Source organism: Homo sapiens, chromosome 5 (assembly GCF_000001405.40).
Source record: "Homo sapiens chromosome 5, GRCh38.p14 Primary Assembly".
In the NCBI taxonomy this organism is placed as follows: domain Eukaryota; kingdom Metazoa; phylum Chordata; class Mammalia; order Primates; family Hominidae; genus Homo; species Homo sapiens.
Genome location: NC_000005.10, coordinates 94,807,169 through 94,819,845, shown reverse-complemented (window position 1 = coordinate 94,819,845; position 12,677 = coordinate 94,807,169). Strand labels below are relative to the sequence as shown.

At 36.4% G+C, this 12,677-nt stretch overlaps 1 protein-coding gene across 54 annotated transcripts in view; it reads left to right on the top strand.

Annotated features, from left to right (window-relative positions):
* The window catches only part of MCTP1 (multiple C2 and transmembrane domain containing 1), a 581,405-nt gene that overhangs the window by 465,249 nt on the left and 103,479 nt on the right, over positions 1 to 12,677 (top strand). Inside the window, exon 18 of one of the 54 annotated variants that reach the window (XM_047417723.1) lies at positions 214 to 762. The exons of the other annotated variants lie outside the window; for them this stretch is intronic. Coding sequence (XP_047273679.1) covers positions 214 to 246 — 33 coding nt within the window. The 3' untranslated portion in view covers positions 247 to 762. Of the gene's footprint in view, positions 1 to 213; positions 763 to 12,677 lie in introns of those variants that run through there. 54 annotated transcript variants of the gene reach the window in all.

The window sequence follows — 12,677 nt, the reverse complement described above, 5'->3', positions numbered from 1 at the left end:
ACTATCTGAAAACGTATTGTTTGTGGCCAATTTTCCTAAAAGCTGCAGGAGTCAATGGTAAAATATTGTGCCTACAATCCTCCTGCTGTTAGGTAAAATTTTGGCCTGAGATGGTTGACTGGTGAATTATCATGGAGAAGACTCACTCAGAATGTCTAGTGATATAAAAAGGTCAATAATTTTGGAGAATAAATAATCACCTCTTTTTAACAGGATGGCCACATTGGACCTATTGTCTACCCTTAGAATTGACATAGATGAACACTTCTGCAAAGATTGGAAACCACCCTTAAACAGATGTGAAGGCAGGAAATCTATGAATATTGTGTTTATCTCAACCTTTCTGAAAAACTGTACGCTGAAGAGTGCTAAGGGAAGCCAATCAGAGACAAGGAGTATAAATTTGAAGTAGTTAGGCCAGGCATGGTGGCTCATGCCTGTAATCCCAGCACTTTGAGAGGCCGAGGCAATCGGATCACCTGAGGTCAGGAGTTTGAGACCAGCCTGGCCAACATGGTGAAACTCCGTCTCTACTAAAAATACAAAAAAGTAGCCATGTGTGGTGGCACACGCCTGTAATCCTAGCTCCTCATGGGAGCCGAGGCAGAAGAATGGCTGGAACCCAGGAGGCAGAGGTTTCAGTGAGCCGAGATCGTGCCATTGTACTACAGCCTGGGTGACAGAGTGAGACTCCATCTCGAATGAATGAAAGAATGAATGAATGAATAAATAAATAAATAAATAAATAAATAAATAAATAAATAAATTTGAAGTAGTTTATCTTGCTTTATGTAACTGGGTAAAGAAACCAACCAAGTCAACTGAGATTTGGAAATCTACACCCCCACTCACTGCATTTACACCCTAGGAAATTATGACACTAAAATAACCCCTTGTTCTAAATTCTAAGACCTAACAGTCAAATTCAGTTCCTCCCATGTAGGTTATCTGAATTTTCTAAGATGATGAGAAAAATTGAATTTGGTAAGATCTTGGGTGTTCTCTTTCAAATTAAATTTTATCCAGTCATTCCGTCTGACCATCCTAGTCAAACAGGTAGCAGGAAGGTAAGTCTCACACTTGCCAGAACACAGATTGGATTAGAGACAGTTTTAATTTACCAGGAGGCCATTGAGAAGAAGAAAGAAGACCTTCCTTCATTAAAGTTTCTACCACATGGTTGCAGTCTCTTCTCTTTCCTGACTGTAGAAGAGAAAGGGTAGAGCCATCACAGCTATCAGAAGGAGAGTAATTGTAGCCCTTAACCTACTTTATCTATTTTATAGTCTACTCTCTAGGAAGCCTCTAGCGCAGTATGTAAACTCCATATGGCCTGTTGATGGTGTTCGAGAAGAGTGAGAATTTTTAGTCAATAACTCATAATGGGTCTTTAAATTAGCTGATCACCTGAAACACTCAGGGAATAACTAAAAATGCAGATTCCAGGCCCTACTGCCAGAGATTCTAATTATGTCTGATGGGGGCCAGGTGTGATGGATGAATTTAAAATTTTTCAAAATCTGTAAGAATTACACCAAGATGTTTAAATGGTCCTTTTTACTTACTTTTGTATGTGTATCTGTGGAAGGCCAAATCATACTTTCAGACATGTCTGCTTCAGGGGCTAAAAGAATTCAATCAGACCTTAGTTTCTTGCCATATCTTGGCTTGGTTTTCCTCTGCGTTAGCATTCATCTTAGACAGGATTTCCCGTAAGTGGCCATAAATATCTTCAGGTTTACCTTCTTCTAGCTTTTGTTCAGGGGAAAAAAGATTCTTTTTTGCTGTAATCCCAAAGACCCACAGTTGAGTCTCACTGTTCTGATTTGCCCATCCTTGAACCGATTAGTATAACCAGGAGCAGCTGATACTCTTTTTGACCAGGTCTGGGTCAAATGTCCACCACGCAGAGCCAGGGGTGGAACCGGCACCACCAGAAACCATCAACTAAAAGTGGGGGAGGGTTTCCCCAAGGAAAATCAGAGTGCTGAACAGAAGAACAAGAGAGCCCAATCGTAAGAGATGATGGATCGGCCAACAGTTCCTAAAAAGGGCCAAAATCATATATGTAAACCAATAATGGTTCAGATGAGAAGAGGAAATATGTATAAATACAAATCGATCCACGATCTTTGGTAAAACATGCTGCCTTCCCCATAATAACTTACTTGTATTGCAGATTAAGTCTGATTAGTACAACTACAATATACCTAGAATTGAGGTTGAAGTGTAACAAAAGAAACAATAAGACAATAGGAAAAATCCCTCAGAAACCAGCACTGTACTTTTTATAGTAATCAGTGCTTCAGGGAACTGAGACCCTTGTAATTGTCAAAAAGATGGTGGAGTTCAAAGGTTAAGAGGTAGCAAGTTTCAACTCCTTCTGCATAGTAAACCAGTTTGTTTGTTTGTTTGTTTGTTTGTTTGTTTGTTTGTTTTGAGACAAGAGTCTCACTGTCGCCCAGGTTGGAGAGCAGTGGCGCGATCTCGGCTCACTGCAACCTCCGCCTCATGGGTTCAAGCGATTCTCATGCCTCAGCCTCCCAAATGGCTGGGATTACAGGCATGCGGCATGCCACCACACCCAGCTAATTTTTGTATTTTTAGTAGAGACGAGGTTTCACCATGTTGGCCAGGATGGTCTCGATTTCCTGACCTCGTGATCCGCCTGCCTCGGCCTCCCAAAGTGCTGGGATTACAGGTGTGAACCACCGCACCCAGCCCAGACACAGTTTAGCTGTGCCAAAACACTGGGTGAGTCTTGAAGGTTTGAGATGATAAGAGATTTTCAACAAGACATAGGGCTTCTCTGTTACAGGTTTTCAGTACCTGTTATCAAGAGCATTTCTTATCTTTGACACCTTTTATCTCTAACACAGTCTAAAATGGATCTTAAAATGGGGAGGAAGTAAGAAGAAGAAAATAACATTTTTTAATGGACAAGGAGAAATTTTTAGAGTACATTAATAAAATAATACCCTTAAGTATACTCATTTATATTCAATAATCTTTATATATTTAGAATTTTTTCATACAATCTTGAAGAGAGGCTACAAAAATTGTTTAAAATCCTGTCAAATTTTACCACCTTATTTTTGGAAATAAGATTGTGAAGTAGAGATTAAAAATGATTGCTATGGCACATGATAGAAAATGTTTGCCTTACCCTAAACTCAATTTTTCTATCTGCAATATGGGAATAAAAATAAAAACATATAATTGAAGTTGATAAAGGGGAAAAAAGTTAAATGATCCTCTGGGGCATAGAAATGCTTAGTTATAATTATTCTTTCATGGTAATAATTTTATTTAATTAAATTATTTAAATCCAGCTTCATATTTAATTCCTATTTAGGTTTCAAAATAATAAAAATCCTTAAATATATTAACAGTACTATATTAATTCATGTAAAATTATTTCTTAGAAGTGAGATAAACATTAACAGCATTTAATGAATTTTCATAGTATAATTGAATTGATATTTTAATTTTATAGTTGAGGGAGAGGGGCCAACACATAATTACTTAATATTTATGGATACACACTTCCCATGGGATGAATAAAAGTACAGATAAATATACACATGATATAAATTTATATACACACATCTAATGTTGTATCCATATACACAAAGATGTTATATCCATGTATACACTTGGCAAACATATTTATACATACGTATTTTACCTTGAACACTAAAACATTTCAGCTGATTTAGGGCTGTCATTATCCACAAAATTTCTCAATTAAAAAAAGCTTACTTCTTTTATGGGAGAAGTCTTAGCATTATTCAGCCCTTCCTACTTTACCTTTTCTTGTTTTCCTTTTTAGGCTTTTCCTCCCCATCTGTATGCCAGTTACCCTCCATTTTGCATAAACTAGACATAAAGGAGAGGAAAACAAAGCTATGCAGACAACCCAGAGCATTTCATGATAGATGGTATGACGTGTGTTTTGCTTTTAGGTCGCATATTGCCCTCTCTTTGACACCAGCTCCATTCCATTTACCATTGCTCTAATTGACAATGAGACCAAGACCCAGACGGTCTTGAGCCAGTGTTCTTTTCTAACTGGTATTTAAAAGCTGTACACTATTGTATGCCTCCTCAAGACTGATCTAAAGCTAGAAAAGAGGAAACACATTGCTGCCTCTTTATTACACTAGTAAACCCTGAATCCAGAGTTGCCACTGAGCGGATGTCTTTATTAGAGCGAGAAATGTGGTGAACACTTCTGGACAGGAGTGTGGTCAAACATATCTGAAAGGCAAAGACATAAATGAAAGAAGTGCAATGTTGCCATAACTGAACTAGTGAAAGGGGAGCTGGATTCGCCCAGTGTCATGCACTTAGAGAACAAAGCCACACCTGTCTCCCTGGGAGATAGAATAGCTCCAGAAAAGCTGACAGTAGAACAGGGAGGCAGTTTAGATTGCAGCAATTGATAGATAGAGAAATTGGCTGTAGAAAGAAGGGGAAATCTGCCAGGGCCCACCTGCTTTTCCATGCTTGATATTATATAACTTAGCTAACAAACACATGTATTAAGCTTTATCATGAAAAATATTAAGAAATGTTTTGTAGCAGTATAGGAAGATATGGGGTTATCCTAGAATTTTGGAAGTGCTGGCATAAAAACAGTTGGAAGTGGTTTTCAGGTGTATTTCACTTGTCCTGCTGTGTTCAGCAGTTTTCGTTTCTATTTTCTTGATGTAATATATTGAGAAAAACAAACCCAACCAACCTAAGGGAGGCACTGACTGTTGCTGACCGGAAAAATAAAACAAATCCCTCATAACATGTATTCCTGCTGTATTTCCCGTAGACGAATGTGGGGCTAAGGAGTTTTATTTCCTGATAGGTGGTACTATAGGTAACTTGGCGACAGACATCACTGAGGAATGCAAATGAAAACCTAAGACTCTAGGCCCAAATTAAAAGAGTTCCTCACCCAAGATTACAAAATAAGGAAACATTGTCATATTTATCCAGTAGTGCTTTCTTCAGGGCAGAGAAGATGACTTTGAATACACTATCCTCATTCTCCTGTGCCAAGGTTTGTTTTTGTTTTCTTTTAACTTTTTTTTTTCTTTCTGCATGTTGGGCTAAGCTGTCCTTTTCTATTTCTTTCCATGTCTTCTCTCACTGAGTTTTCCTTGGCATTTTTTTCATATTCTCAGCCATTTCTTATTTAGAAAGTAAGGAGTTCAAAAAATTTTAACTGATTATATTTTTCATAGGAATTTAGAACTATTATAGTTGCGTGATAGCCTCACCTTATGGTGGTAGCATTATATTGCCACTTTCCATCACCTGCCTCTAGGACCCTGCTTTTCCAGTTATAATTAGCAAAGATTGATGTTGATATTTGCTTTAGCTATTTTATAGTGGCTTTAGTGAAACTTCTCTGAACTCAAATGAGGACCAACTGTCCAAAGAATCATCATGTGGATAGTGTCATCGACTAGCATTTTAAAATATTTTGGAAGTGTTGGCAAGATACACCCAAGGTTCCTTACCATTAACTTTCTCAGCCTAGTTTCTCTCAGTTATTTGTATTGGAATTTACCCCCACAAAAGTTTAGCACTTTTTATTTATTTATTTGTGTATTGTGTATTTATTTTTAGCACTTTTTATTTTAAATGAAATATAAAGAACAGGTGAAATTTTGTTTTACTGAAATATAATTTATATGTCATAACATTCACCCATTTTGAGTACAGAATTCACTGGTTTTTAGTAAATTTCCAGAGTTGTACAACCATCACCTCAGAGGATCCTTCATGACTGATACAGTCCTCTCCATTCCCACCTCCAGCTCCTGGAAACCACTAATGTGTTTTCTGTCTCTAGGGATTTGCGTTTTTTGAACTTTTCATATAAATGGAATCATACACTATGTCCTTTACATCTGACTTCTTTCACTTAGTGTGGTGATTTTGAGTTCATGATGTAGAATGTGTCAGTAGTGTCTTCTTTTATTTTAATTTTTTGAGACAGGATCTTGCTCTGTTGCCCAGGCTGGAATGCAGTGATATAATTATGGCTCACTGCAGACTTGACCTCCAAACTCAAGTGACAGGTGTGCGCCACCCCTCCCAGCTAATTTTTAAAATTTTGTTGTAGAGACAAGGTCTCACTATGTTGCCCAGGCTGGTCTTAAACTCCTGGACTCAAGTGATCCACCATCCAAAGTACTGGGATTACAGGTATCTTCTTTTTATTACTGAATAGTATTCCTTGGATATAGCACATTTTGATTATCAATTTACTAGATGATAAACATTTGGATTGTTTCTATTTAGGGAATAACATGAATAATGCTGCAATGCACATCCGTGTATGTATCTTTATGTAGGCATATGTTTTCATTTTTCTTTGATAGGAGTAGAATTATTGGTTAATGTGGTAAATGTATGTTTACATTTTTAAGAAACTAACAATCTGTTTTCCAAAGTAGGCTTACCATTTTACATTCCTACCAATGACATACGAGGGTTCTGGTTTCTCTGTGTCTTCACCAACATTTAGTGCTTTCTGTCCTGATTACAGCCACTCTAGTGGGTGTGAAGTGGTATCCCATTGTGGTTTAATTTACGTTTCCCTAGTAACTAATGATTTTGAACATCTTTTCATGTGCTTATTTGACATTCAGATGTTTTATTTGGTGAAATGTCTACTTAAATCTTTTTCCCATTGTTTAAACGGGGTTTTTGTCTTCGTATTAAGTACTCTACATACTCTGAATACAAGTCCTTAATCAGATATATTATTTGCAATTATTTTCTCTCGATGTGTGGCTTATCTTTTCATTTTCTTAATGGTGTCTTTTGGAGCACAAATGTTTTTAACTTTAATGAGGCCAAATTTTTAAATATACATTATATATACACGCACGCACACACACAGACATTTATACAGAGAGAGAGAGAGAGAGAGAGAGAGAGAATGCTTTTGGTGTTGTGTCTGTGAATAAATACCTTGCTTACCCCAAGGCCACAAATATTTTCTCCTAGAGGTTTTATGGTTTTAGTTCTATGATCCATTTTGTATCACCTTTTTTTTTTTTTAAGAGGCAAGGTCTCACTGTGTTGCTCAGGCTGGAGTGCTATGGCTATTCACAGGCTCAATCACAGTGCACTGCAGTTTTGAACTCCTGGGCTAAGCGATCACCTACCTCAGCCTCCTAAGTAGCTAAGACTACAGGTGTTCACCTGAATTTTCTGTATATAGTAATTTTATTACTTTTAAAGATAGTTTCATTTTACGTTATTGTGCTCATTCCCACAAATACACCTGAATTTATCTTTGGAAAAGTTCAGAAGACATGTAGAAGGGTTTTTTTTTTGTTTTGTTTTAGTTTTAGTTTTTTGGGTTTTTTTTTTTTTTCGTATCCCTGACCTAATCACAAACAGCACCACCTTTTGGTTCATGTTTACACTTGCTTTTTACAATAGCCATCTACCAATAGCTCACATTTTTCCTTGAGAGGACATTAAATTTCAGAGAGATCTGAAACCTTCCTGAAGCTTGTGAATAATTTAAAAGATTGAGCAAAGTAGTCTTTAGAGTCAGTGTCCCAACAATGAATATTCAAGTAAATTGTGAACAAGAAACTGAGGATCATCATGTGAGAGTGTGACATCACATCTGAACCTACGATTAATGCCTGCTTAATATCCCCTTTTGTTTAAATAGAATGCAATATTCAATTATTCTGGAAAATTGATCACAGTAAATCATTGATTTTAAAAACTTCAGAAAATTTTCTTTAAAACAGTACTCAAAGAAGTATAAATGTTTCTTGAGAATTGTACATCAGTACCGTGTGGCTCAACAAAATATGTCCACTCCTGACAGGTCATTTTTAGAAACAGGGCTTTATGGGCAATCAGCTACAATGAGAAAAATGCCTGAAAGATAATACATCTCGGCATCTCCATGTCAATGAAGTGAAAGCTTTTCTGAAAATGAAATGGCCTTCTTTTAGAACTCTGGAATCCTAAACTACAGACATTTCAGGAACTATTTTGGCTGAAAATGATAGGAGAGATTTTTCTTTTTCATAATTTTTATTACAGTGGAATTGGTTTTTGTATTTCTAACAGTTTGACAAGAGCTAATTACAATGCGCTCATCTGTTTTGCGGACTAATTTGAGCCATCGGGCATCAACACCATAGACATGCAGCAGCATTGCAAATGATACGCATGCTTCCCTTGCTCCAAGAATTTGTACTTGCTATAAAAGAAAACAGATTTGGACAGCCCTGAAAAAGTCGGGTTTGGTTTGAAGAAAACATTTCAGAATTACATTAGAGCTGGCCTACAAGTGAACTAAAAATACCTGCTCATCTCAGTGGTCTTGGCCCAGGGCCTTTCCTTTTACTGTAAAAGTCAGGCTGTTTGAACAGTTGGAGTTCGGCTTGCTTGCTGTCTAAACTAGTGTTCTCTGATAACTTCTGTTACCATTGAAACACAAGCCCCATTGCATTTAAGAGAATGTTTAGAGGTGTGGAAAATAGCCAAGAGAAATGTATACTTAGTGCTCAAACCTTTAGGCTTCCCGTGCAGTAACTAGACCACTTAGAGCTGTTAAGAAATAAATGGGAGAAAGACATTCATCAGTAAACATTACGCAGCAAGGGTAAAAGATGGAATGGAGTAAAGAAGGCTGTTAAAATCAGCCTAAGATGATTATTTGAATTGCAAAGAGAAATGTTCAGACATAGCTAGAGCTGCTAAACATAACTCTTGAAGTTTTTCCAGAACAGAGGGATTGGGGGAATGAGACCAGTGAAGGAGAAAATTAGAAAATTATAAGACGGAATGGGAGATGAAGTTTCAGAAGCTAGTAAATGATAGCTGAAATGTATGATATTATTAGGTCTTAAATCTATTTATGAGGGTGAAAATTTAAAAACACACTTTCTGACTTTGGCTCTGTGATTTTAAGATTTAAATGAAGATATTAAACCCAGACAAAGAATAATCAACAATAACTGCAAGGTTATATCATGAAGGATAAAAAAGAAAGATCAGAAATCAGTAGCCCAGGGAAGATAGTCGTGATAAGTTGGATAAGTCTGAGTGAAATAATTTGAGTGGAAAAAAGTCAGAATGCTACCAAATATCCCAGAACTTGGCAGAATGCAACACTCTGCACATCAGCTACTATAAAAAAGGAATTACCATAATTGATCATCTGCTTTTCTAAAGGCATTCCTGTTCAGTGAATTAGAGCTGGAGGTGTAAAGACTGAAGGACTAATTTTTAAAGTAACTTGTATCACAGACTTTACTAACATGTGTTTGGCTTGTTAGATAGCTGGGTATCCTATTTTCTGGCACAGTATAGAGAACAGAGGGAGTTTCCCCCCATGAGCAACTGAAGTGCCAGCTGTTGCCCTAAATATTGTACCTGTTCAGGATGGAGATAGCTTTAAAGCCAGATTTCAAGCTTAGGGAAATTTTACATTTTGTACATCAGCAAACATTGGTGTAAGATTTGTGTGTCTAGATATAGCATTTATATACACAAAGGGGAACTGATCAAAAATTGATTTCAAAAATAGGAGTGGTAACATTCATTTCTTTAAAAGTTTAAAAGGAAACTGCTTTTAATAAGCTCTAATAAATCTTTACCTCACTTCTAATGCCTTAGAAAATATATAGAAATTGTCAATTTCTGTAAAATATACTTAAATAAAAGATCACAGTGAATCTAACAATTTTGTTAAACAATAATTTAAAAACCTGAAAGACAGGAAGGAATATCAGAACATCATGTAATGATTAGACTATCATGAAAAAGTTATCTTTTTCATTGGAGGCATAAGAAGAAGAAAAGCTAAAACACAACTGAGATCCAACATTAAAACACTTTTTTTTCTTCCTTAGAAAATAATTAAAGCATGGACTGTTAGTTACCTAGCATTAGTGAGATAGTCGTGGGTCTTTCCAGAAAAAGTTGGATCCTGGGAAAACGGGGCACTAGAGAAAGGCAAGCTTCAGTGAGTTTAACAGCGTTAACTCATTCTTAAATGTTTCTTTAATGTAGTACTTGAGCATTTTTTAGAGTGATTGTTACTTGATTCCAGCAACTTCCTCACAGGCCACATAATATCAATTCCTCTTAATTGGTCATTTAAAATAATAAATATGTGCTGATCTGTAGTCTGCAAGAATGACTGTGCTTGCAGCCTGATTTTGAATGAGCTGAACTTCTGTGAATTACAAAGCTGTTAAAATTAAAACATCAACTGTGTTTGATACCGTGGTAGGCATTACAAACTACAAAGGTAACAGACTAATTTCTAATGAAAGGGACCTTGGAGAATCAACATTCTCCAGGCATCTATAAGCATTTGTCACTTTCATTCTACATCCAAACTTTTACTAACATTAAATTCACAACATTGCAGGGATTTCTTATCAGTTATTCATGTGTGGTTATGTGATGCTCAAGTTGGACATACTCTGGGCTTTACATTTTGGAGTTGTCAGTGTTCTCAAAGCAAAGCCAGAGCCTTTCATCTCTGACTTTGATAAAAATGACACAAATTATCAGTACAACTTGTAAGCTGAAAAAAAAAAACATTTAAATAAATAACTTCCCAAGCCTTCTGGCTGGCAGGTTCTATTGATATAATATCTCCATCAAGGAAAGTAGTGTGCATTATGCTATGATTAGTTGATAGCTCCATCTTTAAGGCTGTTTGGGTCCATTTTGTTGTGGAGATTCTTCACTAGGTGCTTTTGTGGCTTGTATGTAGCACATCTTCAAATGAGTCCTATCTAGTTGTCACACTTGCTTCTTTAATAGATAGAGTCAAGCTATGTTTTTCAAAAAAGCATTGATGTACTAAGATTGTAGACTTTAGGTTTCAGATAGCAACTTCAAAAACCCAGCATACATTTTCACAATATAAAGAATTGGAACTTTCTGATGTATATTTGTTCATCCTAGTAAATCCAAAGAAACAATGTTTTTTCAACACCACCAATAAATAAAGTTTCAGTATATGTATTCAAGTCACAGCTTGCCAATAAATCAACCAATTTCTCACTTTTTTTCTACTCCTTCCCATATACCTCATCCTGTTACCAGAACAGAGATAGATAGTTCTTTTGACACACTTTGCCTACTCAATATAGAGTCATTTGGTAGATAGTGCACTTTGATTTTTTTTCCTCTACACATAAGAAACACACACACAACAAAACACAACAGATCAAGTCTTGTCAGTTTGGTATCTGGTTGAAACTAGTCAAAAAGAAAGCAATTTTCATTCTAATTAAGAGAAGGGAGAGATGCCACTGTACATGAGGCTCTTTTGAGCATATTAATGCTCCCTGTATCATTGTGGCATGATCACAGGAAATAGCAAAATAAATTGGAAAGATTCAGTGGGTCTAAGGTAGTCATCAATTCCCTGCTACCGTGTACTTTAGAAAATTGTCCAAACAAAGCAAAGCCTCTCTTCAGAAGAGCAACACATCATACTTTAAAACCACCTTGAAAAGGTTATCGTTATGCTAGGAATTAATTAAGTTCACTTTGCCTATCTCCTCTCCCTTGTTGAATGGAGGTGGTACAAAAAGCTTTAGTGGAACCAACCAGAAATAAAGACCTTTGAACAGGTGGTGGTGCCATCTGGCTATTTAAATCAAGGCAAAACCACCTCCTTCCCAGAAGACTAGGTTCTGAAGACTCTGATGATGTGGTGGAGCCTGACTTAATTTGAGTGAGTGTAAATGGGCATAAGGGGTTCACCTCCAGTACTTTGGGCATGTTTTAAAGAAATGTTAAACATTAGTAGGAGAATCTAGTTCAAATGCTTATAAGGACAATTTTTTCTCTGCTACTGACTTACTCTAAGTCATAATTCATGCCATCACATAGGAAATATACCTAGCTTTTTTTCTGTATACACTTGTATATACACATATAGTTTCTTCTTTTGTAAGTTAATTATAGAATATTCTATTATCTATATGAGAAACAGACAACTTTTCTCAAAGAGGAGTGCTTTTAGCATTTGGGGCAGGAAAATTCTTCATTGGGTATGACTGTCACACATATTTCAGAGTGATTCACTTTGGCTTCACCCGCCAAATGCCCAGTATTTCCCTTCTCCCATCCTAGTCATTGTGACAACTAAAAACATCCCTGCATATTTCCAAATGTGCCCTAGGGAGGAAAGTGGCAGCTCAGCATCGAAATGTTTGAAAGTTGATCCTCCTTCTTTTTATATTCCCTTTCTTGTGCCAAAAAGGATTTAAGGAGGCAATTGGTGGGGTTAATTCACAAACAGTGCTTTCATTGGCTTCTAACTATCCTACTCTTCAATCAAGTTTGTAATTCAGAAATTTTACCTCTTTGCCAACTCTGATGATGGCTTTTTCAAAATGAAAAGCAATATATTTTAGGTCTCACTTTACCCAGCTCTCTTCTTTAAGGCCAATCTTATTGGTAGAGGTAAGATAATTTCCTGTTAAGTATTCATTACTATAATCAGTTTTTATATATTGATAAACACCTTGAATTTTCCCCCCAATCATTGCCTAGTTCCTCAAAAGGCATATCCTGTGTATTTGTTATCTTTCTAATTTGAGGTCTCTCTCACATCAAGAAACATTCTCATACCAAATGTTCTCTGTTAGGACCCAAAAAAG